Below are 25,813 nucleotides of genomic sequence, written 5' to 3' on the forward strand. Positions count from 1 at the left end.
CAGGTGGATCGCTGGAGGCCAGGAGTTCAAAACAAACCTGGGCAATATGGAGAAACCCTGTCTCTACTAAAAATACAAAAATTAGCCAGTCTTGCAATCTGGCCTCAAAAATAAAAGGAAATAAAAATTTTTGAAAAAGGAGAATAAAGTTGGAAAACTCACACTTCCTGACCTCAAAACTTACTACAAAACTACAGTAATAGAAACAGTGTGGTATTGGCATAAAGACAGACAGATCATTGCAATAGAATAGAGAGTCCTGGAAGAAACTCTCCCATATATTGTCAATTGATTTAAGTATAGGTGCCAAAACCATTCCATGGAGAAAGGTCAGTCGTCAACAAATAGTGCTGGGAAACTTCAATGCCCAATTGCAAAATAATGAAGTTACCTTACAACACATACAAAAGTTAACTCAAAATGGATCAAAAATATTCTGGTGGGTATATAAAATGGTGCAGCCATTGTGAAAGTGGTTTGGTAATTTATTTCAAAAAGTTCAACATAGAATTACCATGGAACCCAGCAATTCCACATCTAGGTCTATACTCCCAAGAAATGGAAGCAGGAACTTGAACAGATACTTAAACAACAGTGGTCATAGAAGCAACATTCTCAATAAGCAAAATGTGGAAATAACCAAAATGTCCATTAAGAGACAACTGAGTACACAAAATGTGTTGTATACATACAGTGGAATTTTATTCAGACTTACAGAGGAATGACATTTTGTTACATGCTAAGACATAGATGAACCTTGAAAACGTTATGCTAAGTGAAATAAGCCAAACGCAAAAGGGCAAATGTTGTATATTTTCACTTATATGAGGAACCTAAAATAGGCAAATTCATAGATTTTAAAAAGCAGATTAGAGATTATCATGTGCTGGAGACTGGGGCAGTGAGATGTTGCTTATTAGTAGAATTTCTGTTTGGGATGGTAAACATTTTCTGAAGATGGGTAATCGTGATGGCTGTACAACATTGTTACTTTATTTGATACTACTGAATTGTACACTCAAAAATGGTGAAAAGAGTAATTTTATGTTACATTTTATATAAATAAAATATAAAGTAAAAAATAAAGTATCTGTTCAAGTTCCTGCTGCCACTTCTTGGTAGTAAGTAGCCTTAGAAGTAGAATTGCTGGGTCTCATGGTAATTCTGTAATTCTTTTACATAAATAAGGAGGGAAAAAAACCCAAAGAAGTCCCAATGGAGGAATACTGACATTTCATGGATACGTAGGTGTGGGTATATGTTAGGAGTTCTTTGGAAAATAAAATATGTCATGCTCAATCAAAAAAAAATTAGCTGGGTGCAATAGCTCACATCTGTAATCACAGCACTTTGGGAGGCTGAGGCAGGGGGGTTACTTGTGCCCAGGAGTTTGAAAGTAGTCTGGGCAACATAGTGAGACCTTATCTCTACAAAAAATCAAAAAATTAGCTGGGCATGGTGGTACCTGCCCGTGGTCCCAGCTCCTTGGGAGGCTGAGTTGGGAATATCACTTGAGCTCAGGAGGTCCAGGATACAGTGAACTTTAATCACGCTCCTGCACTCCAGCTCGGTGACAGAGCAAGACCTTGTTTTTTTCTTTAAATATATTTCTTTGGATTATCCCCATTTCAGCTCAATCAGAATCTCTGGTTGCATCCAAGTACTACTATTTTAAAAAATCTCCTGAAATGATTGTAATATGCAGATATATATCTGTGGTCCTCAAAGATGCCTGGACATTATATAAAATATATGTGTTACCCCATGTTTAATTTTTCTTTTTCTTTCTTTCTTTCTTTCTTTCTTTCTTTCTTTCTTTCTTTCTTTCTTTCTTTCTTTCTTTCTTTCTTTCATTTTGAGATGGTGTCTAGCTCTGTCACACAGGCTGGAGTGCAGTGGTGCGATCTTGGTTCACTGCAACCTCCGCCTCCCGGGTTTAAGTGATTCTCCTGCCTCAGCTTCCCAAGTAGCTGAAATTACAGGTGCATGCCACCATGCCCAGCTAATCTTTTGTATTTTTAGTGGAGATGGGGTTTCACTGTGTCAACCAGGCTGGTTTCGAACTCCTGACCTCGTGATCCACCCACCTAGGCTTCCCAAAGTGCTGGGATTACAAGTGTGAGCCACCCCACCCTGCCTAATTTTCTTTTATCCAATCTTTAAGTTGTGTTGCTGAGAATTAATGCTAAGTAAGGCCTGTATGTTCCCCTTTGGTCAAAAGTATCACAAAGGAACCATCGCTCCCTTGAAACCACAGTGTGAGGATGGCAGTGACACCAGGACAGCCGCCAATGAAAGTGTCTTTAGAGAAAGGAGATGAAGTCTGAAATCAATTTCAGGGTCTGGTCATCCTTCCATGGCCAATATTGGGAGCTAAGATTTTCCTCTTTGTGGCCATTCCTATCCTGGGAGGGCCATTGCTTATTTGATCAGGAGTTTCAGCAGGTTTCCTTGTAATCCATCTCAGTTTTCTATAATCTCTGGTTTTTACTTTTTTTTAATCCTAAACCTACCATTTATTTGATGTGCAGAAGATGTGCAGGGCTTTTAATCTGCAGCTTTTCTCTCTGTAAAATGGGATAATAGAGTTCCCTGGAGGCTCAGCGAGGATAAGTGATTTGTTTACACTCTGTTGTTGGTAAGTGAGATGGTATTATTTGAATCCAGTCAAAGCCTATATTCTTGACTACAGTAGATCATTGAAACCCAAGTCTGATGGTTCTGAAGCCAGTCTTCATTCTACCCCAACATCCCAAAAGTTCCAGGTGGGTTCAGACAGGAAAGGATGGGAGAATGCACGGTGAGCTTCGAGTTGAATGAAAACTCATTCATTTCATTGAGTTAGAGCAAATAAAAGAGGACTTGAAGAAGCCTCAGGATGCAGAGCTCCCTGTTGGGATCCTTGGGGCCAGGATGGGGGCAGATGGGGGGTCATTACCTCATAGCACATGAAGAGGCTCACAGGCCTGACAGGTTTGATTCTGATGCCAATGTTTCCTTCTGTGTTAGGTGGCAGGATGCTGCCCTTGTCATCAATGACCTGTAGCAAGAGGCCTGTGAATCATACACTGCAGGAGGCCGCAGCCCTTCTGCCCCACCCAAGCACTGTCTGGTTTATGCATGGGACACCAGTGTGGATGAAATAACAGAGGAAACATCAGAAAATGGAATAAAACTGTCAAAAGCCTTTAAAATACGCAAATGTGAAACTCAAGCCAAGGGTCTATGTTTCATGAGTTAGTAGATGTCACCAATGTGTCTTCAAGTTGGAAAACAGTGATCAAAAAAAATGAAAAGCACCACTTGCTAGAGAGGGCTCCCAGTGCAGCCTCTAGGTATTCTTTCCTACCTACTGTGTGTGATGCCCTGGCTGCCAGGGTCAGCGGTGTTCATGCTCACAATAATGCAGTTTTCAACTGAGGCCTCCATATGAAACTGAAGGGATAAATGAGAAGAGAGGAGGAAGGATGACTGGAGCAGGGAAGTGCGGCTGGTGTTGTCACCTGGTGTCAAATTGTCCAACCCCCGCTGAGCCCTAACTGCTCCCTGCCAATGCCCTTAGGACCAGACCTGGACGTCGTAGGGTGGAGTGGCCTTCCCCATGAAACCCGGCTTGATCTTCATTCCCCAGTAGGTGGCACAAATTAGTCCCTGTTCACAAAAGAAAGAAGATTTGGGTTGATCAGAGAGGCCAGGCTGATCACAAAGCAGTCAGAATCATACACAGCATCCTCTGCTCAGAGATGTAGTATTCCTCTCAATGGATGCTGCCCAAAGAGCCCTCGTAGGGAAGCTGGAAGGCCTTAGTCTAGGCTCAAGGTGTTGACCCAACTCTATTCCACAGTCATTTTCTGCAGCCAGTGTGGTCTGGCTCTGTACTAAGTGGAGTCTACAGAATCCAATGGGGAAACAAAGAAAGAAGAAACAGGGTATTCCCCTGGCTGTGGGCATATAATGTGGGGTGTGGCATGCCCACCATTGAACAGGCATGTGTCAGTTTGCTAGGGGAAGACCACTAGTCTATCTAACAAACATTTACTTGGGGCTGTTGAGCAGTGATAGGGATTCTGCCACAACTTCTTGACTGATCCTGATGCCAACTTTTCCCCCTGTGTTGGGTGGCAGAATGTTGCCTTTGTCATCAGTGATCCGTAGGAAGAGGCCTGTGAATCTCACCCTGCAGGATGCCCCAGTGTGTGTGGAGGTTGTCTGGATTGCTTGTGCTGTTCTCTCTGTTAGCACTGCCCTATCTTCATCTTTCTTCCTGATGAACTTGATTCCTCCTTTATTGTTCTCACAAATATATTTATTTCTGTAGCTGCGTGCTTTACATTCAGACCAATGAGGGTTTGACCCTTGACTCCACCACACACTAAATGCATGCCAATGAATCCCTCTTGATCTCCTCCATCAAAGGGTAATAATGATAACACTTACCTCCCAGAGTGCTTGTAAGCATATGGAAAATTCTGCATAATACAAGGCACACACCACGTGTTCAATGAATGATGACTACTGGCTATTACTCAAGCTACAAGAGAAGTCAAGGGAAAGATTCTCTTTCTGCAGCATTTCTCCTATACTTCCATTGCAGCCCACAGGGCATTATAATTATTTTTGTTTGTCTGTTTCCTTCAGTAGATAATGAGCATCCCAAGAATAGAGACTGCCCTATTTATCCCTGAGCTTCCAAAATCTGGAACAATAGCCACCAAAAATAGCAAGGACCACAGCAGCTGCAAGGTGAGCATATACAACAGGCGGGACACCAGCCAGAGCATTATATACTTCTTTTTATTTACCTTATCACAATCTGTTAAGATTGGCATTATAATTTCCATTTAAAGGTGGGGGAGCTGAGGTGAGAAAGCATACATAATATCCTTATGGTCTTCAAGCTGTAATTGGCAGAGCTGAGACTTGGACCCAGGTCTGTGCTCCTGGGATAGGAAGATCTTTGCCCACTGCCACATCACTGCTCACACTGTAGGCATGTGAAAAACGTTGCACACATGAGTGAACAGATGTGAAAGTGTTTTCAGAAATTAAGCACCACCTAGTGCTGCAAATATTGGAGTCGTGGGTGGAGTGTGTCTTCCTGGCCCACCCTCCTCCTTGTCCAAATATGACCTGTGAGCCATTCAAACATAGGCCCGAAGTGTCAGCATTTTTCAGGTCTGGAAGCAGACAAATTAACTGAATTGCTATATATTTTTTACAAAATAATGTCAGCTGAGTATGTGAGTTGGCACTAAAGTAATAATTTTGCACAGGGCCTGGGATAGCAGTCATCCTTTATGTGCTAGAGGGATAATGGAGACAGAGGGAGAAAGTGGCTCTGTCCAGCATTGGAAATGGATTGCAAATATGTTGGAAGAGATGCTCACCCACACTGTAATTGATGAGGTCCTTGAACTTCCAGACATGCATAGTACTCCAAATGCCCCACTCACCTGGCAGCTCAGTGATACTCTGGAATGACACTGTTTGTGTGTACATGTGTTTGGCATATACAGAAAGTCCCTGCTCCTCACCCACCCTGCTAGTATCCCACAGTCAAACCTGCGAGTTGTCCTCCTAAACCCCAAGCAATGCACTTTTTGAGCCAGCTTCCTCCTGCCTCTGCAGCCCTAGGGAGGGTTAGTGGAGTTGACAGGACTTCCTGGAGGAGGTGGTCTCCATGTTGCTGGAGAGAGTCTCCTATCCCACCCACCCTCTGGGGATCCTCTGAGCTGATGATAACAGGGACAGTGTGAAAACGCCCTTAGACCCCTTTTTAAGGTTTTGTCCAAGAGTTTTAAGCACATTAGTCCCTTGGTAAGATGACGAGTTGTACATTTTCTTTCTGCAGATAGATTTGGGACAAATTAGCCTAGAACTCTAGAGCCTCTGGTTGGCATCAAACAATGCTGTGCATGCGATGGGGCTGTGTCCCGCACATGTGGCATAATTCAGCACATCTGCTGGGCTCAATCGCTGAGCACATCATGACTATCCAGAAGGGACCTTTCCACTATGAAAGGAAAACAAACCCCAAAATCACTAAGCCAAAGGGAAAACTCAAGTTGGGAACTGCATCAGTCAAACCTGCCTCTCATTTTATTCCTAAACAAGAGCTAAAAAGATAAAAAACAAAACAAAACTACATGCCTCCGCCACAATTTTCCCACTAAGAAATTCCTTGTGGGCCCCAAGATCGTTACTGTCAAACAGTTCTGCTAAATTTCACCCTGACATTTATAGCTCATCTTCACACGTATAGGACAAAGAACAGAACTCAAAAATCATCTCTCTGCTCACCTGAGACAAATATGTACCTAGTTGCTTTCTCTGACTTACGTTTATCTTATGTAAAAATGCAGATTCACTGATCTAGATGAATGCACAAGTGACTCTTCCTCTACCCTTCTCTCACATGTAAACAGCTGATCAAAGACTCACAAGAAGGCAACAATTTGCCTCGTAACTACCCCACCTTTAGAAAATTTCTTCCTTTTTCCCCAATATCTGCCTTTTCTCCTTTAAATATTGAAGCCCTCAAAATCATCTTTGGGGAAAGGCACAAACCTGTTTCCCAGATGCGTGTCATTAACCTTAGCAAAATAATCTTTTAAATTAATTGAGACCTGTCTCAGACACTTTCTGGTTTGCACCACCTACCGTTTCCGACTGCCCATAGTTCTCGTAGAGCAGAAGGCCCGTCCGTCTTTTCCACTCCTCCTGATCCTTGGGCAACACGACCTCCCCGCCAGTATAGCAGTGCTCCAGGGCAGGGAACCTGATGCTTAGAGGAAGACAAGGTGCCAGGCATTGGTGAGCCACCCTGGCTCTGTGCATTCAGAGCTCTTAAGTCTGTCACCCAGATCATTCATCCTTCTAGTTCCTCACTTTCTTATTTACTTTTTGGTCATTTTACAGTTGGCCATGGCCAAGTGGATGTCACTCACTTCCTGCCAGTCCCTGCGAACTATTCTGGCAGACGGTGGATGGGTGGTGGTGAGGCTATTGTGTTCAATTGGGAATGTTTGGATTAAATTTGGATATCAGTGTAACAAGAGGGAGAACTGTGTGTTTATCAGAACTCCTCTTGGGGAAGCATTCTGTATAGCTAAGAAGGACATTTTTATAATCATAATGGGGTAAAGGATGAGATCTTAAGGACATGCTAGGGTGATAATAGAACTATACATTCTTTTATGGAGCTTACACTACGCTAACTAAAGGGCTTTTGTATTTCTGAATGGGGAATGCATGTTAGGGATTGGAAGTGAATTGCTCAGGACATCAGAGCAGATTAAGCTGAGTAGGGAAAGAGAGAGGGAGAAGCATTACAGGGTACAGCCCTGACAGAAGGAATTTCAGAGAAAACAGAAAAGGCTGATGTGAACAGGAAAAAATAAAATATTTTACCCCAAAATATATTTCTTTGACATATTTTGAAATGGCTGCCATTTGGCTAGCTAATAGAGGTGGCCTTGCAAAGCCATCTTTTATGGGGGGAAGTGTACATCTATAGAGAATATCTATTAATGCAGCCATGCCCTGCCCTCTTTTTGTAGGGAAAAAGCTGAGTGTTGGGAAGAAAGCTGAGGCAGGGCTTGCACGTCTGGTGTAATGTCCTCTGGAATGTGTCTAGACTTGCTGGCTCCTTGCTTCTAGCCTTCCTAGGCTCCTAGATTGATTGTATTCCCATTATCTAAAGTAGCAGAACATGCTCCTTATAAATGCTATACCATCACAGGTGTTCATCATGCACCTGATCTTTTGACCTCCTCATTCTCACCACCTGTTTCTTTGTTGGATTACCAATAAATAGCATGGGCTCCCAGGGCTCGGGGCCTTCACAGCCTCCACAGTCTTGATGGCCCCCTGGTCCCACTTTACTTCTCAAACTGTCTTTTTCTCAATCCTTTGGCTCTGCCAGACTTCATTGCCCCCACAACCTGGTGTTGGGCCTGATCAGCCCAACATTCCTGGGTGCCCAATGTGGGGTGATGAAGACCCTGGTGAAGGAACTCTAGATCATGTGAAAGCAGAGGACACATCATCAAGGGACACCCAAGAACGTGTAAAAGAAGCTCGGTGGGAAAGTGGAGTGCTCGGAAGAATCAGGGTAACAATGGGACAAAGTGAAAGCAGACATTCTGCTTATTTAAATATCCTAAGACATGTATTACGAAGAGTGGGAGTGAAAGTTAGTACTCAGAATTTGTTATCACTCTTTAGTGCAGTGAAGCACTTTTGCCCATGGTTTCTGGAACAAGGGACTATGGAGTTGGATGAATGGGAGAGAAATTGACAGAGATTTTTAAAAAGTATATAAAGATGGAGCAAAAATTAAAGTCTTGGTTTGGTCAACGTGGGCACTAATAAAAGCAACTCTTGAGCCATTTTAAACAGATGATGAGGCAGATTTAGATGAGGAAGAGGAGGACAAGTGTAAAAAACTAACCTCAGATTTTGAATGTGAGGAACAGGAAAGGGAGGAAATTAAAGAAAAGAAAGGGAAACTGAAAAAAGCATGTTTTACTAACCCATCAGCCCCACGTGCTGAATTAAGTGAAGAGCCACATCCTCTCTCTCCTCTTAATGGGTGAGAAGATGAATTAGCTACAAAACTTACTGCTCCTGTAGTTGCAACTTTAAAACCTGGAGCAATTGGTGGTGGTATACAAAATTCTATTCAGAAGGCTAGAGCCAAGGGAGACCTTGAAGCATGGCAATTTCCCATAACTATAATCCAGCAGGGAGGACAGAATATAGCTAATTGGACCACATTTCCTTTTAAGATGCTCTCCTCCCCAATTTCTACCCAGCTTATCCCCCGTGCAATACAATCTCCAAGCCTTGACTCCTTGGCCAGGGCCTTAGAACTGATAACCCAGTACTTTAACAACTGGAACTGGGTCTATGACAACGTAATAGATCAAGATGAAAATGAATTGAGTAAGTTAAAGGGAGGCACATATTCCTATAGTGGCAAATGGGGGCAACAAGTAAAAATCCTTCCACTGTGTTTCCAAAATCCACCTACAAAGGAGAAAGAAAGAGATATACAAGTAGTTAAAGAAAAAGCAGTGTGCCCTATTCCTTTAAAACCAGGGTAAATTTAAAACCTATAATTGATAATTGAAGGTATTCTCCATGACCCTATAACACTCAATACTGCCTTGTTGTCAGTGTAAACAAGGGCGTAATCTGAAAGCACTTCACTTTGAGAGTTCTGCTCATGGCCCCAGGGTCAACCAACTTGTTGTCAAACCCTGGAGCTAATGGCTTTCCTCTCTGTTGACCCTTGGCTCAGCCCAGAAGTACAGGAAAAGTGGAAGCTGGTTCCAGGCAAACCAATGTTCCCAACTCTGAAGAGTTGGGGGTTGTTAGAGAGCCCTTTTCCAGAAAGCCTGACACCCATGTCTTTAGTCTGGCAGCCGCCCTAGTTGCTTTTAACTCGCTGGCAGGTGCCTGGTATTTAGCCCCGAATTCTAAGGAAAAATAGGAAGGAATAGCAAGTGAAATGGGTCCGATGGTGCTCACCACTTGGCGATAGGTGATAGTCCCTTTGTGGTTGCCAAACTGTGTCTGGAATTTATTCCTTCCAGTGGGTTCTTGGTCTCGCTGACTTCAAGAATGAAGCCGTGGACCCTTGCAGTGGGTGTTACAGCTCTTAAAAGTGGTGTGTCCAGAGTTTGTTCCTCCCAGTGGGTTCATGGTCTCACTGACTTCAGGAATGAAGCTGCAGACCCTCGTGGTGAGTGTTACAGCTCATAAAGGTAGTGCAGACCCAAAGAGTGAGCAGCTGTAAGATTTATTGTGAAGAGTGAAAGCCCAAAGCTTCCACAGCAGGGAAGGGGACCCAAGCAGGTTGCCACTGCTGGCTCTGGTGGCCAGCTTTTATTCCCTTATTTGGCCCTGCCCACATGCTGCTGATTGCTCCATTTTACAGAGTGCTGATTGGTGCATTTACAATCCTTTAGCTAGACAGAAAGTGCTGATTGGTGCATTTTTACAGAGTGCTGACTGGTGCATTTACAATCCTTTATCTAGACACAGAGCGCTGATTGGTGTGTTTTTACAAAGTGCTGATTGGTGAATTTACAGTCCTTTATCTAGACACAGAGCACTGATTGGTGCATTTTTACAGAGTGCTGATTGGTGCTTTGACAATCTTTTAGCTAGACACAGAGTGCTGATTGGTGTTTTTTTACAGAGTGCTGATTGGTGCATTTACAGTCCTTTAGCTAGACCCAGAGCACTAATTGGTGCATTTACAATCCTTTAGCTAGACACAAAAGTTCTCCAAGTCCCCACCTGACCCAGAAGCCCAGTTGGCTTCAACTCTCAAGACCACTGACAGCCAGCAGCCTTTCTATCAAAAATCCTAACCAAGTAACCCACAGATGGCCCAAATGCATTCAATCTGTAGCAGCAACTGCTTCGCTAGCAGAAGAAAGTAGAAAAATAACTTAGAAGAAACCTAATTGTGAGCACACCTCACCAGTTCAGAGCTACCCTAAGGAAGAGAAAAGCAAAAGCGTAGCTTACTAACTTAAAAATCTTAAAGTATGGGGCCATTCTGTGAGGAAAAGGTGATTTAACATTAACCACTGAAAATTCCCTTAACCCAGCAGATTTCTTAACAAGGGATTTAAATCTTAATTACATACAGAGGACCGACAAGACCTAGGAGGAACTCCATTCAAGACAGGACAATAGATGGCTCCTCCCATGTGATTGAGGAACACACACACACACACACACACACACACACACACACACACATAATGGGTATTCAGTAATTGATAGGGAAACTCTTGTAGAAGCAGAGTTAGAAAAATTGCCTAATAATTGGTCTGCTCAAACATGTGAGCTGTTTGTACTCAGCCAAGCCTTAAAGTACAAAGCCAGGAAGGAACCATCTATACCAATTCTAAGTTAGTTTAGACTAAACAAGGTCTTATAGACAGCAAAAGATAATGGAAATCCCAAACTTACAAGGGTTTAAACAAAAGTAAAATTTGCTAAAAGTTAACGGTGTAACATGTATTATCCTAACTTCTAGTCTTGTGGCCTTCCTTATGTCTAGTCCATAGACATAAAGGAAGTTCCCTTTGGAAAAGTGGTTATCTTCAAAATATAAATAAATAAATTACTCTATCTCAATCCTGACTCAAAACATTGCCTACATCCTCTCTGAAATGAATTTGCATAAGAACAGTTGTTTATGGGAGTGCATCTTGATGGGGAAGCTGGGTTGTTATGAAATACTCAGGAACCTAGCCCAGCTCTAGAACTCACCTCTGAGTGCAAAGGCAATGTTGGGTAAGCTGGTAAAGGACCACTAGAATCCAGCAGCCCATACCCCTTTCTTTGTGGTCAAGAAAGGTGGGAAAACAGGTGCAGGACTGCTACATTGGTGAGCATAACTAATCTGATAAGCAGAGGTCCATGGGTGGTTATGCACCCTGGAAAGGAAGAAGTATTAGGACTATAGAGGATGCTCTAGGACTAATACTCATCAGAAAATGACTAGGGGTGCTGTCATCCCTATGTTCTTTTTTCAGATGGGAAACGTTCCCCCCAAGGCAAAAACACCCCTAAGATGTATTCTGGAGAATTCAGGCCAGTCAGAGTGTATGTACCTTTTTCCCTCTCAGACTTGAAACAAATTAAAATAGACCTAGCTAAATTCTCAGATAACCCTGATGGCTACATTGATGTTTTACGAGGGTTGGGACAATTATTTGATCTCACATGGATAGATATAATATTACTGCTAAATCAGACACTAACTCCAAATGAGAGAAGTGCCGCCATTACTGCAGCCTGAGAGTTTGGTGATCTCTGGTATCTCAGTCAGGTCAATGATAGGATGACAACAGAGGAAAGAGAACAATTCCCCACAGGCCAGCAGGCAGTTCCCAGTGTAGACCCTCATTGGGACGCAGAATCAGAACATGGAGATTGGTGCTGCAGACATTTGCTAACTTGCATGCTGGAAGGACTAAGGAAAACTAGGAAGAAGGCTATGAATTATTCAATGATGTCCACTATAATACAAGGAAAGGAAGAAAATCCTACTGCTCTTCTGGAGAGACAAAGGGAGGCATTGAGGAAGCATACCTCTCTGTCACCTGACTCTACTGAAGGCTAACTAATCTTAAAGGATAAGTTTATCACTCAGTCAGCTGCAGACATTAGAAAAACTTCAAAAGTCTGCCTTAGGCCTGGAGCAAAACTTAGAAACCCTATTGAACTTGGCAACCTCAGTTTTTTATAATAGAGATCAGGAGTAGCAGGTGGAATGGAACAAACAGGATTAAAAATGAAAAAAAAACACCACTTTAGTCACAGCCTTCAGGCAAGTGAACTTTGGAGGCTCTGAAAAAGGAAAAGGCTGGGCAAATCAAATGCCTAATAGGGCCTGCTTCCAGTGCAGTCTACAAGGACACTTTTAAAAAGATTGTCTGAATAGAAATAAGCCACCCCCTTGTCCATGCCCCTTATGTCAAGGGAATGACTGGAAGGCCCACTGCCCGAGGGGACGAAGGTCATCTGAGTCAGAAGCCACTAACCAGATGATCCAGCAGCAGGACTGAGGGTGCCCAGGGCAAATGCCAGCCCATGCCATCACCCTCCCTAGGTATGCTTGACCATTGAGGGCCAGGGGGTTAACTGTCTCCTGGACACTGGCACGGCCTTCTCAGTCTTACCCTCCTGTCCCAGACAACTGTCCTCCAGATCTGTCACTATCCAAGGGGTCCAAGAACAGACAGTCACTAGATACTTCTCCCAGCCACTAAGTTGTGACTGGGGAACTTTACTCTTTTCACATGTCTTTCTAATTATGCCTGAAAGCCCCACTCCTTTGTTAGGGAGAGACATCCTAGCAAAAGCAGGGGCCATTATACACTAGAATTAGGAGAAGGAAAAAGGGTAAATATATATACAGACTCTAACTATGCTTACCTAGTCCTCCATGCCCACACAGCAATATGGAGAGAAAGGGAATTCCTAACTTCTGAGGGAACACCTATCAAACATCAGGAAGCCATTAGGCCCCAAAATTCTCCTTACCTCTGAATATACTTCCTCCAATTCCTGCCTAAAGATAATTTTATGGGGAAGAGCATTTGCTTGTGTCTCTCCAGGTGACAATCAGGTGCCTATGTGGGTGCCCACCAAACATCTGAAGATCTATCATGAGCCACAGCATATAGTGGACCCAAACTGAAGGTTTGAAAAGCCTCAATTTCCTTTCCCTCTGCCTTCTGTTAGAAGGTGCCTGTTTCTCATTATCAGTGGCCTCCTGGCTACAGACACAAAAGTTTTTGCTTCTGTTTCAGTAGATTTACTAACATGGAGGTGAGGGTATGCTTGTGTTTTTGCAGGAGATAAATGAACCATGTGGATGCCCTCAAGATGTGCATGACCATGGAATGGGAGACTGGAGGGACACTTGGATTAAAACCTTGGACCGGGTTCGCCCAGTATGAGCCATGAGCCAGCTGAACCTGAATGCAAAGAAGGAATGAAGACCGACTAGAGTCATGCATGCTTAATGGACCAATGCGTCCTGACTCAGCTCTTTTCTACCTGAATACAAGAGACCCTAATAGTTAGGCAGGAATATCATCACCTCTATTCAGCATGAAGTTACAGAAGATAGACCTTCATCCTTCTGTAACCCCTAGGATTAAGGGTCCTCTTGTAAAAGGGAAAGGGGAGATATGTGGGAAGCATTCAAACCAGAGTGACTCCAGTTTGAATAAGGGCTAAGAAAAATGAAGCTGGATGACCAACTGGCAATTCAAGCCTTCACAGCCTGCAATTGCCTTCTCAATTAAAAGAGGCCAACTTTTATGCTACTAATTACGATATCTAGTAATAATGATAGTAATAATGACATTTCTCTTTTACAAAAAAGAGAAAGGGGGCATGTTGGGAAAAAGCTGAATATTGGGAAGAAAACTGAGGCAGGGCTTGCATGTCTGACATAATGTCCTCTGGAATGTGTCTAGACTTTCTGGCTCCTTGCTTCTAGCCTTCCTAGTCTCCTAGATCCATTGTATTCCCATTATCACAAGTAGCAGAACACGTTCCTTATAAATGCTAAACTATCACAGCTGTTCATCATGCACCTGCCCTTTTGACCTCCTCATTCTCACCACCTGTTCCTTTGTTGGATTACCAATAAATAGCATGGGCTCCCAGAGCTCAGGAACTTTGCAGCCTCCACAGTCGCGATGGCCCCCTGCTCCCACTTTACTTCTCAAATTGTCTTTTTCTCAATCCTTTGACTCTGCCGGACTTCATTACCCCCACCACCTGGTGTTGGGCCTGATAACCCCAACATTTCTATGCCTTTCTCATATCCAGGAGAGACTGAGAATCTGACAACTTTAAAAGTCTGAAAAGAAACATTTACCATCTATTCTCTCTGAAGGAGTCTTCATGTACCTAACAAGGCCAGCTTTGCTAGCTAATATTCTTCTTTTCTCTCTCTCTTAACCTTTCTTGCCACTCAACCTGATTTACCAACATAACCTGTTTCTGGCCATGCTCTCAGTCTGCATTCTTTACTGTAGCCTCAGGATGGTAATGTAAACCAAAAATGAAATTTTAAGCAGCCCCAGCCAACAGAATGGACCCCTCCTCTCAGTCAATTGCATTCCAAAGTTATCCTAAGACAAGAGGTCAGGCCATGATGGAAATGGGTGGTTGGATGTACCTCATTATACCCTCCTTCCTTTGGAATTCAGGCAAAACTAACCAGCATTAACATTAAAACAGAGACCTTAAGATAATTTATTATCTCTGAAGCCTGCACCTGGAAGCTTCATCTGCATAATAAAAACTTTTATTTCTACAATCCTTTATCCTAACCCTCTCTTTTATTGATTCCAGGTCTTTAGATAAACTCAACCAACTGCCAATCAGAAAATCCTTCTATGACCTGGAAGCCTCTGCTTTGAGTTGTTCCACCTTTCTGGACCAAACCAATATACACCTTACGTGTATTAATTGATGTCTTATGTTTCCCTAAAAATATAAAACCAAGCTGTAGACCAATCACCTTGGGCACATGTTCTCAAGATCTGCTGAGGCTGTGTCACAGGCATGTCTTTAACCTTGGCAAAATAACCTCTAAATTGATTGAGACTTATCTCAGTATTGGTTTGTAGTATGAAAATTTCTGTAAATCCTCGAGAAGTTGGGGTTTCATTCTGAAGGCTCCCATGTATACATGTTAAATAAATTTGCAATCTTTCTCTCCTGTTAATCAATCTGGCTCATGTCAGTGATTTTATAGTGAACCTTTAGGGGTCCAAGAGCCTATGGCCCTCACAGAATGTTGGTAGTGAGGACAAAGCTCTGTTTTATTTTATTTTATTTTATTTTAATCTTGCCCAAATTCCTACCTAAAGGGTCTAGGGAGTCATGCCCTACAAACCATAAATTCTCATCAGATGGGTTTTATTTAACCCTTTATATCATGACTTACTTTCCAATCTGACTCTGGCATACCATTATGAGACAAGGAAGAAAATCAAAATATTTTACCCCTGAACATATTTCTCTGCCATATCTTGAAACTGCCCTGCAAAGTCCCTTGTGGGAAAAGTCCACATTCTATAGAGAATCCCCTTTCCCATTTGTTTTCCTTCTTTCCTTTCCAGATCCAGGAGATAATAAACTAAGAGCCAGGCACTCTTTTAAATCCAGTAAGAAGCATTTTACAACCTGTTCTCTCTCTCTCTCTCTGATGTCTGGTATCTGACAGATTCCTCTGCACAATAAAACTTGGTCTCCACAAACCTTTATCTTAACCTGAACTTTTCCTTTGATCCCAGGTCTTCAGATAAACTTAACCAATTGTCAATGAGAAAATGTTTAAATTTACCTATAGCCCGGAAGCCCCCACTTTGAGTTGTCCTGCCTTTCTGAACCAAACCAATGTATTTCTTAAATGTATTTGATTGATGTCTCATGCCTCCCTCAAATATACAAAACCAAGCTGCATCCTGACCACCTTGGGCGTATGTTCTCAGGACCTCCTGAGGGCTGTGTCACAGGCCATGGTCGCTCATATTTAGCTCAGAATAAATCTTTAAACATATTTTACAGAGATTCACTCTTTGTCAACAATAGTTTGGTGCCCAAACACGTGGGGCCTCAGAGAAGACTCAGGACCTTGAAGGAGTTGCCCAAACTTGGAGCTAAGGTACCAGCAGGGCCCACTGAAGCCTATTCTTTTGAGCTTCTCCTCTGGTGGAACTGGTAAGTCCTCCTGAACCCCAGACTTCCCTTTGGTTGACAGTCCTTGATTTATTCTGAGTTGGTTTTCTCCTAGGTAGTTGTTGTTTCAGGATCCTTATTCTAGTTCCGAGATGCATTCTAAATGGAATTCTCTCCTGCATTTTCTGCTAAAATTTATCTTGATTTGGTTCATCTCAGTGCATTTGCATGAGGAACTGAAGTGTCGTTTTCACAGATAAATGAGAGACTGAGTTTTTCTGCTCCAAAGAGAAAGGTCATTTGCTTCTCCTAGTCAAAAAGGTGCCCCTGGGTGATCAGGGGACTCGTGGGAGTGTCTGGGAGCTTGACCCCCCACAACGTGCAGCGGCCCTACAGGGAAATCCCCAACAAAAATTAATTTAAAATTGCTCATCCAGGAAGTGCATATAAAGGCTGATTACCCAGCATTTTGAGCCCTCTCAGAGGTCATAGACCTCTGGAGAGAGAAACCCAGACACCTAGGAGGTGGGAAGGACTCTGTAGTGATACACGGTGGAGTCCTGCCCACAAGCAGCATGCACTGATCCACCACACAAAAGCCCTAGGCTACAGCTCAGTTCCTCCTCTTAAGAAAAAAAAAAAAAGCAGGAAACAAAATCTAAGAATAAGGAGTAAACAAGGAGAATGAGAATGACCCTCTTTTGGGCACTCTGTAGGTTTTATGGCACCTCCACTTGCCAGAGTTTATATAAAATGGAAGTAATATGGTCTTTGTGCACATTTACATTAAGGAAGAAGATTCCTAAGGTCGACCTGCAGACTATAGAGTACATAGCTTCTATTTTCTTGTCTGCCTGCTTTAAAGCTGCTGTTACTTTTCTACTGAGATAAAAACCACCATTTGGATCTAACCGCTTTTTGCAAGCTGGCAAAGTTGTATTTATCCCATGGCTAAAGTACTGAAGTAATAGCTATGGGAACTTTTTGTGTGTGTGTGCATGTGTGTGCCTATTTAAAGCCTTCTATAATTTTATGTTCAATTGGCAGTTGAATTAATTTCCCTCTAGCATACCAGACTTTCTCTTCATACCTTATGATGTAAATTTTGCTATCTGATTTCACCTGAGTTGCCTTTAATATGCAAATTTAAGACGATTTAGCTGACAACTGCCTAGGGTAAGATTTTTTTAAATGGCAAAAACAAAAAGATCTTTATGAGTCTATGTGATGTGCTTCTACCAGCATGCCTAATACATGTATATATTTATGTGTGTGTATACAATATTTTCATGACTAAAAATATATGAAGAGGCTGGGCCCAGTGGCTCATGCCTGCAATCCCAGCACTTCAGGAGGCCGAGGTGGGCACATTACCTGAGGTCAGGACTTCAAGACCAGCTTGGTCAACACAGTGAATCCCCATCTCTACTAAAAGTACAAAAATTAGCTGGGCATGGTGGCACATGCCTGCAATCCCAGCTACTCCAGAGGCTGAGGCAGGAGAACTGCTTAAGCCCGGGAGACGGAGGTTGCAGTGAGCTGAGATTGTGCCACTCTAGCCTGCCTGACTGAGCAAGACTGTCTCAAAAAAACAAATAAATAAAATAAAATAAAATACTATATATATACACACAAACACACATATGAAGAGCTCTAATTAATTGGCTTTAAAAAGTGCTTAAATCAGATACTAAACAAAAAAAACTAGTCAAATGCTTTTTCAAGTTCATGTGACTTAAGTAAAATCTTTACTAAATAAGATTTTATTTTAGTAAGTATCTAGCCAGCTTTAAAATTATTGGTAAAATAATATCAGCAATGTCTTTAGAATTGTTAGAATTTTTTTTGCATCTATTGATCAAATGGTTTCATGTTTATTCCCACAGAATACTATAAAATTTGCCATAAGTGTTATAAACTATAAAATCCAGCCCAAGACAGAGTGATCTTTGATTGTATATGCTTATGAAATATTGTTGGCTTAAATGAAAACAGCTAAATACTGAATTATTGGTATAAATATCCTTAAAACTAACCATAAGTTTTATTACTTAAGTAAACACCTCAAATTCACAGCTATAAAAATCGTTAATAGAAAAATAACTTAAAATATTGGCTATCAATTTTTTGCAAATAACCTAGGTAAACTACTAAATTAATCAGGTACATGTAATGGAATAAATGCTTGTAAACACACTTGTCATAATTTAGGATTTAAGGTTATTATTTGATATTAAGTTTCTGGGTAATTTCCAATTTAAGAAATTTTTTAACATTCTTATTAAGGTAAAATATCTTTGTCTAATTAAAACCTTATTTAAGGGTTATATATGAAACAAGGGAAACCAGGAAATAAGAGCAATATAAAGAAAGTTATAAAAATAAAGAGGTATTTTTGACAAAAAAATTTAAAAAGTCTTAAAGAAAAGATATTTTATATAAGAAAGAATCTTGTATGGTAAATTTTTGTCCTAAAATAAAAATGATGGGATTACACAAGAAAGAGGGATATTTAAAAAAATGATAAAGGGGATATCACCGCTGATACCACAGAAATACAAACTACCGTCAGAGAATACTATAAACACCTCTACACAAATAAACTAGAAAATCTAGAAGAAATGGATAAACTCCTGGACACAAACACCCTCCCAAGACTAAATCAGGAAGAAGTTGAATCCCTGAATAGACCAATAACAGGCTCTGAAATTGAGGCAATAAATAATAGCCTACCAACCAAAAAAGGCCCAGGACCAGATAGATTCACAGCCGAATTCTGCCAGAGGTACAAGGAGGAGCTGGTACCATTCCTTCTGAAACTATTCCAATCAATAGAAAAAGAGGGAATCCTCCCTAACTCTTTTTATGAGGCCAACATCATCCTGATACCAAAGCCTGGCAGAGACACAACCAAAAAAGAGAATTTTAGACCAATATCCCTGATGAACATCGATGTAAAAATGCTGAAGAAAATACTGGCAAACTGAATCCAGCAACACATCAAAAAGCTTATCCACCATGATCAGGTGGGCTTCATCCCTGGGATGCAAGGCTGGTTCAACATATGCAAATCTATAAACAAAATCCAGCATATAAACAGAAACAAATATAAAAACCACATGATTATCTCAATAGATGCAGAAAAGGCCTTTGACAAAATTCAACAGCCCCTCATGTTAAAAACTCTCAATAAATTAGGTATTGATGGGACATATCTCAAAATAATAAGAGCTATTTATGACAAACCCACAGCAAATATCATACTGAATGGGCAAAAACTGGAAGCATTCCCTTTGAAAACTGGCACAAGACAGGGATGCCCTCTCTTACCACTCCTATTCAACATAGTGTTGGAAGTTCTGGCCAGGGCAATCAGGCAGGAGAAAGAAATGAAGGCTATTCAATTAGGAAAAGAGGAAGTCAAATTGACCCTGTTTGCAGATGACATGATTGTATATTTAAAAAACCCCATCGTCTCAGCCCAAAATCTCCTTAAGCTGATAAGCAACTTCAGCAAAATCTCAGGATACAAAATCAATGTGCAAAAATCACAAGCATTCTTATACACCAATAATAGACAAACAGAGAGCCAAATCATGAGTGAACTCCCATTCACAATTGCTTCAAAGAGAATAAAATACCTAGGAATCCAACTTACAAGGGATGTGAAGGACCTCTTCAAGGAGAACTATAAACCACTGCTCAACAAAATAAAAGAGGACACAAACAAATGGAAGAACATTCCATGCTCATGAGTAGGAAGAATCAATATCGTGAAAATGGCCATACTGCCCAAGGTAATTTATAGATTCAATGCCATCCCCATCAAGCTACCAATGACTTTCTTCACAGAATTGGAAAAAACTACTTTAAAGTTCATATGGAACCAAAAAAGAGCCTGCATTGTCAAGGCAATCCTAAGCCAAAACAACAAAGGTGGAGGCATCGCGCTACCTGACTTCAAACGATACCACAAGGCTACAGTAACCAAAACAGCATGGTACTGTTACCAAAACAGACATATAGACCAATGGAACAGAATACAGCCCTCAGAAATAATACCAAACATCTACAACCATCTGATCTTTGACAAATCTGACAAAAACAAGAAATGGGGAAAGGATTCCCTGTTTAATAAATGGCTCTGGGATAACTGGCTAGCCATATGTAGAAAGCTGAAACTGGATCCCTTCCCCTTATACAAAAGTTAATTGAAGATGGATTAAAGACTGAAATGTTAGACCTAAAACCATAAAAACCCTAGAAGAAAACCTAGGCAATACCATTCAGGACACAGGCATGGGCAAGGACTTCATGTCTAAAACACCAAAAGCAATGGCAACAAAAACCAAAATCGACAAATGGGATCTATTTAAACTAAAGAGCTTCTGCACAAAAAAAGAAACTACCATCAGAGTGAACAGTTAACCTACAGAATGGGAGAAAATTTTTGCCATCTACTCATCTGACAAAGGGCTAATATCCAGAATCTACAAACAACTCAAACAAATTTACAAGAAAACAACAAAAAACCCCATCAAAAAGTGGGCGAAGGATATGAACAGACATTTCTCAAAAGAAGACATTTATGCAGCCAACAGACACATGAAAAAATGCTCATCATCACTGGCCATCAGAGAACTGCAAATCAAAACCACAATGAGATACCATCTCACACCAGTTAGAATGGCGATCATTAAAAAGTCAGGAAACAGGTGCTAGAGAGGATGTGGAGAAATAGGAACACTTTTACACTGTTGGTGGGACTGTAAATTAGTTCAATCATTGTGGAAGACAGTGTGGCAATTCCTCAAGGATCTAGAACTAGAAATACCATTTGACCCAGCAATCCCATTACTGGGTATATACCCAAAGGATTATAAATCATGCTGCTATAAAGACACATGCACACGTATGTTTATTGTGGCACTATTCACAATAGCAAAGACTTGGAACCAACCCAAATGTCCAAAAATGATAGACTGGATTAAGAAAATGTGGCACATATACACCATGGAATACTATGCAGCCATAAAAAATGATGAGTTCATGTCCTTTCTAGGGACGTGGATGAAGCTGGAAACCATCATTCTCAGCAAACTATCACAAGGACAAAAAACCAAACACTGCATGTTCTCCCTCATAGGTGGGAATTGAACAATGAGAATACATGGACACAGGAAAGGGAACATCACACACCAGGGCCTGTTGTGGGGTGGGGGGAGGGGGGAGGGAGCACATTAGGAGATATACCTAATGTAGATGACGAGTTAATGGGTGCAGCACAGCAACATGGCACATGTATACATATGTAACAAACCTGTACGTTGTGCACATGTACCCTAGAACTTAAAGTATAATAAAAAATAAAATAAAATAAAATAAAAAAAGAAAGAGGGATATTTAAGATAAAACAGTCTGAACGCTTGTGAATGAACTATGTAAGTCATAATAACATTAATAAAATAAATTTTTAAAGGAGTTGTGTAATTTAGTTGTCTATAACTAAAAATAAATCATGATAATCTTTCTAGAGATGGGTCTTTAATATTTTTAAAAATGCAGTAGTACAAAACTAATTGGTTAAAGCAAGATTTTATTACAAATATTGTCTTATTATTTTATTTTGTTTTGTTTTGTTTTTGAGATGGAGTCTCACTCTGTCACCCAGGCTGGAGTGCAGTGGCATGATCTCAGCTCACTGCAACCTCCAGCTCCTGGGTTCAAGCAATTCTCCTGCCTCAGCCTCCTGAGTAACTGGGACTATAGGTAGGCACCACCACCCCTGGCTAATTTTTCTATTTTTAGTAGACATGGAGTTTCATCATATTGGCCAGGCTGGTCTCGAACTCCTGACCTTGTGATCCGCACACCTCAGCCTCCCAAAATGTCAGTATTACAGGCATGAGTCACTGTGCCTGGCTGACTTATTTTTAATGCAAGAAGTTTTTAAATTTTTAATTGTTTCTTTAACATTCTTCAGGTTGATATCTTAAAAGTGCTACTCTTTCTCTGTTGAAAAGGCTTTGAAGGACGGCTCTTTCCTTCACCTTTTGTTGGCTCCTGTAACTTTTACTAGTTATATAAAGTAAGGGAGAAAAATTGTTTTTGAAAACAGGCAAGTGAAGTAACTTTTGAGCATGTCTTTTATTCTGCATGCCTGTTATATCTCTATATTTATATGTGTCATGTGGAAGTGATATTTCACTTCCAAACTACATGAAAGAGTTCTAATCAACTAACTTTAAAAAATGTTAAGTGCCTGTCAGATTGGCAAAAACTAGCTCAGATGCCCTTTTAATTTACATAACCTTGATAATCTGTGGTAAAAATTTAATTTGGTAAATTTAATCTCAAAATTCTCCAGTAATTTAAAAATCTTAAAGTCATGATTTAACCCTCGGGTTTTGCACCCCACCCCACCGAGTGGAAATTTGGGTGACTAAAAAGTTAAAATAATAGAAGCACAAAATATGCAGCATTTGTTAACATTTTATAAACACAAAGATGTCAATTCTCAAAAAATGTAAATTTCTTTTTGGTTAAGAAACATTTAAGAGTTGCTTTATAATGAAGGATAGTAACTCTCCTAACTGTCAAACTATGAATGTTATTTATCTTTCCTTGTTTACTTCAAGGAAGCCAATATGATGGTACTCTGAAGACCATATGAAACTCATTTGACATCCCGCTGGGCCTGGATCTGTTTCACTGCAAATGCTCTGCTGCCAAAACTATACAAGTTGCTCCCTCTGGGCCCAGGAACTATCACGGAAGAGGTGGGCATGTAAGATTGTAAGGGCCAGCTTTGAGGGATAAAATTAGAACAAGACCAAACCCTCCAAATCAAGAAGAGGTTACAAAAAAAAAAAAAATGCCTAAACAGCTGGTAAAACAAGTTTAGTTGTCTTCTAAACTATTATGTGTCACTTTTGCATACATCCCAACCACAAACATTTTCTGCTTCCTATAAAATTAAAAAATATATATATTTACTAATAGGATAAAGTACCTTGTAACAAACCCTCCTGGGTATAATACTGCCAGTTATAAGTTGTGAAGATAAATATGTCTATACATATATACATATTTTAAATTATTTTTCAGAACAATGCTTATATTTTGAGTAGCTAATTGCTGTAAGTATGTAACAGAAACTAAGCTTACAGTAACTCAACACATAAAAGTTAAAAAGAAGCCAGTCTTGTAACTTTGCCTTTTGGTTCTATTGTTGGGTTTGTTTTTTTGGGTTTGTTTTTTTGGTTTTGTTTTTTGTTTTTTGTTTTTTTCACACAGAGTCTCTCTCTTGTCACCCAGGCTGGAGTGCAGCAGTGCGATCTCAGCTCACTGCAACCTCTGCCTCCTGTGTTCAAGCAATTTTCCTGCCTCAGCCTCCTGAGTAGCTGGGATTACAGGTGCCCACGACCACGCCCAGCTAACTTTTATACTTTTAATAGAGACAGGGTTTCACAATGTTGGCCAGGCTGGTCTCAAACTCCTGACCTCAGGTGATCCACCCACCTCGGCCTCCCAAAGTGCTGGGATTACAGGCATAAGCCACTGTGCCCAATGTTTTTTTTTTTATTATACCTTAAGTTTTAGGGTACATGTGCACAACGTGCAGGTTTGTTACATATGGATACATGTGCCACGATGGTGTGCTGCACCCATTAACTCATCATTTAGCATTAGGTATATCTCCTAATGTTATCCCTCCCCCCTCCCGCCACCCCACAACAGGCTCTGATGTGTGATGTTCCCTTTCCTGTGTCCATGTGTTCTCATTGTTCAACTCCCACCTATGAGGGAGAACATGCAGTGTTTGGTTTTTTGTCCTTGTGATAGTTTGCTGAGAATGATGGTTTCCAGCCTCATCTATGTCCCTGCAAACGTCATGAACTCATCATTTTTTGTGGCTGCATAGTATTCCATGGTGTATATGTGCCACATTTTCATAATCCAGTCTATCATTTTTGGACATTTGGGTTGGTTCCAAGTCTTTGCTATTGTGAATAGTGCCACAATAAAGATACATGTGCATGTGTCTTTATAGCAGCATGATTTACAATCCTTTGGGTATATAACCAGTAATGGGATTGCTGGGTCAAATGGTATTTCTAGTTCTAGATCCTTGAGGAATCATCACACTGTCTTCCAAAATGGTTGAACTAATTTACAGTCCCACCAACAGTGTAAAAGTGTTCCTATTTCTCCACATCCTCTCTAGCACCTGTTGTTTCCTGACTTTTTAATGATCGCCATTCTAACTGGTGTGAGATGGTATTTCATTGTGGTTTTGATTTGCAGTTCTCTGATGGCCAGTGATGATGAGCATTTTTTCATGTGTCTGTTGGCTGCATAAATGTCTTCTCTTGAGAAGTGTCTGTTCATATCCTTCACCCACTTTTTGATGGGGTTGTTCTTTTTTTTTTGACTTAAAATCATTTCTAGAAGTAATCAATGCCTGTCCACATCCATTCCTATCTGGCCTAGAACAATTAATTGGCTATAAGTCTTTTGACTTTTAAGGTCTTCAGCCATGGGCAGTCCTGCCAAGGAAAAAATGACGGTGCAGAATTATGACTTCTCCTGTGACAAAACCTTTTCTCTCCCAAATACCAGTATATGGTGCAATACAAAAGTGGTGGGAAGAATAGATTCGTCTATATTAACAAGGCTATAAGAATTTAGATATTGAGGAACAGGTGTTTCTTGCATTTAATTTACACCCTCCTCAGGATGCTATACCTATGGAGACAAATTGGCCGGAAAAGAGATTAAATTTATTAAATTCCAATTTAATGTTGGTCCCGTAATTTCCAAATAAGATTTATCAGAGGGTTGAAATAACCCTTAATAAGTAAGGTAACCACATTGTGAGTCTGATCAAAGAATATGATGATGTATGCAGTGTTTATTCTGGCTGAAATATTCTTTCTGCTCTCTGATGCCACCTATAACCTTGGATACCCAAATCTTCACTATCTTTATGATAGACATTTTCTTGTAAATGTTATGCCAGATACAGCAAAAGGGAAAGGCACAATTAAAGACTCAGATCATGATAACTCAGAACATAGATCTGATCTGGGATTTTTTTGTAAAAGACTAAACCCTAAGCCTGACTCCATCTCACCCCTTAAACTCCAGGTCTTCCCCCCATTATCCAAAACGCTAGTGTTTAAAACTATTACCATCAAATCAGAGGACTCTAGGAACAAGCTTTCCTAGCACTGTGGGACCCTGCCAGATGGCCAAATCAGACAACTCTAGGAATGAGTCTTCCTAGTGCCATGGGACCTGCTGCTGTTTGTTGGCCTACATGTGCATTCTATGGAATGCTTTTTGGCCAAGAGCGGGGACTGAGGACTGAGCTCTGATTTTTACAATCTTGCCCAAATTCCTATCTAAGGTGCCTGGGGAGTCATACCTTACAAACCATAAATTCTCATCAGATGGGTTTTATTTAACCCTGTATATTGTGACTTAACTTTCCAATCTGACTCTGGCATAACATTACGAGACAAGGAAGAAAATCAAAATATTGTACCCCAAAACATGTTTCTCCGCCATATCT

The 25,813-nt window shown here is 40.9% G+C and overlaps 1 protein-coding gene across 17 annotated transcripts in view, besides 2 other annotated features; it reads right to left on the reverse strand.

The window, feature by feature from the left end:
- Nucleotides 1-25,813, reverse strand: part of ACSM1 (acyl-CoA synthetase medium chain family member 1) — a 74,446-nt gene that overhangs the window by 10,566 nt on the left and 38,067 nt on the right. For 9 of the 17 annotated variants that reach the window (NM_001318890.3, NM_052956.3, XM_006721018.3 and 6 more), the window contains 3 exons: nt 6,661-6,784; nt 3,571-3,651; nt 2,939-3,040 (listed from right to left, as the gene is read on the reverse strand). The exons of 4 other annotated variants lie outside the window; for them this stretch is intronic. In NM_001318890.3, the coding sequence (NP_001305819.1) occupies nt 2,939-3,040; nt 3,571-3,651; nt 6,661-6,784 (307 nt within the window). The remainder of the gene's footprint in view (nt 1-2,938; nt 3,041-3,570; nt 3,652-6,660; nt 6,785-25,813) is intronic. 4 more of the 17 variants (XM_006721016.4, XM_047433583.1, NR_134918.2 and 1 more) reach the window with 3 other exon arrangements.
- Nucleotides 13,845-14,409: an enhancer, noted in NCBI's record as "OCT4-NANOG hESC enhancer chr16:20658967-20659531 (GRCh37/hg19 assembly coordinates)". NCBI's record gives its function as "activates a minimal SCP1, AML or CMV promoter by ChIP-STARR-seq in primed H9 embryonic stem cells {active_cell/tissue: H9 hESC(primed)}" and the evidence as "EXISTENCE:reporter gene assay evidence [ECO:0000049][PMID:30033119]".
- Nucleotides 17,048-17,651: an enhancer, noted in NCBI's record as "NANOG hESC enhancer chr16:20662170-20662773 (GRCh37/hg19 assembly coordinates)". NCBI's record gives its function as "activates a minimal SCP1, AML or CMV promoter by ChIP-STARR-seq in naive H9 embryonic stem cells {active_cell/tissue: H9 hESC(naive)}" and the evidence as "EXISTENCE:reporter gene assay evidence [ECO:0000049][PMID:30033119]".

This window comes from Homo sapiens, chromosome 16 (assembly GCF_000001405.40).
Source record: "Homo sapiens chromosome 16, GRCh38.p14 Primary Assembly".
Classification (NCBI taxonomy): Eukaryota; Metazoa; Chordata; class Mammalia; order Primates; family Hominidae; genus Homo; species Homo sapiens.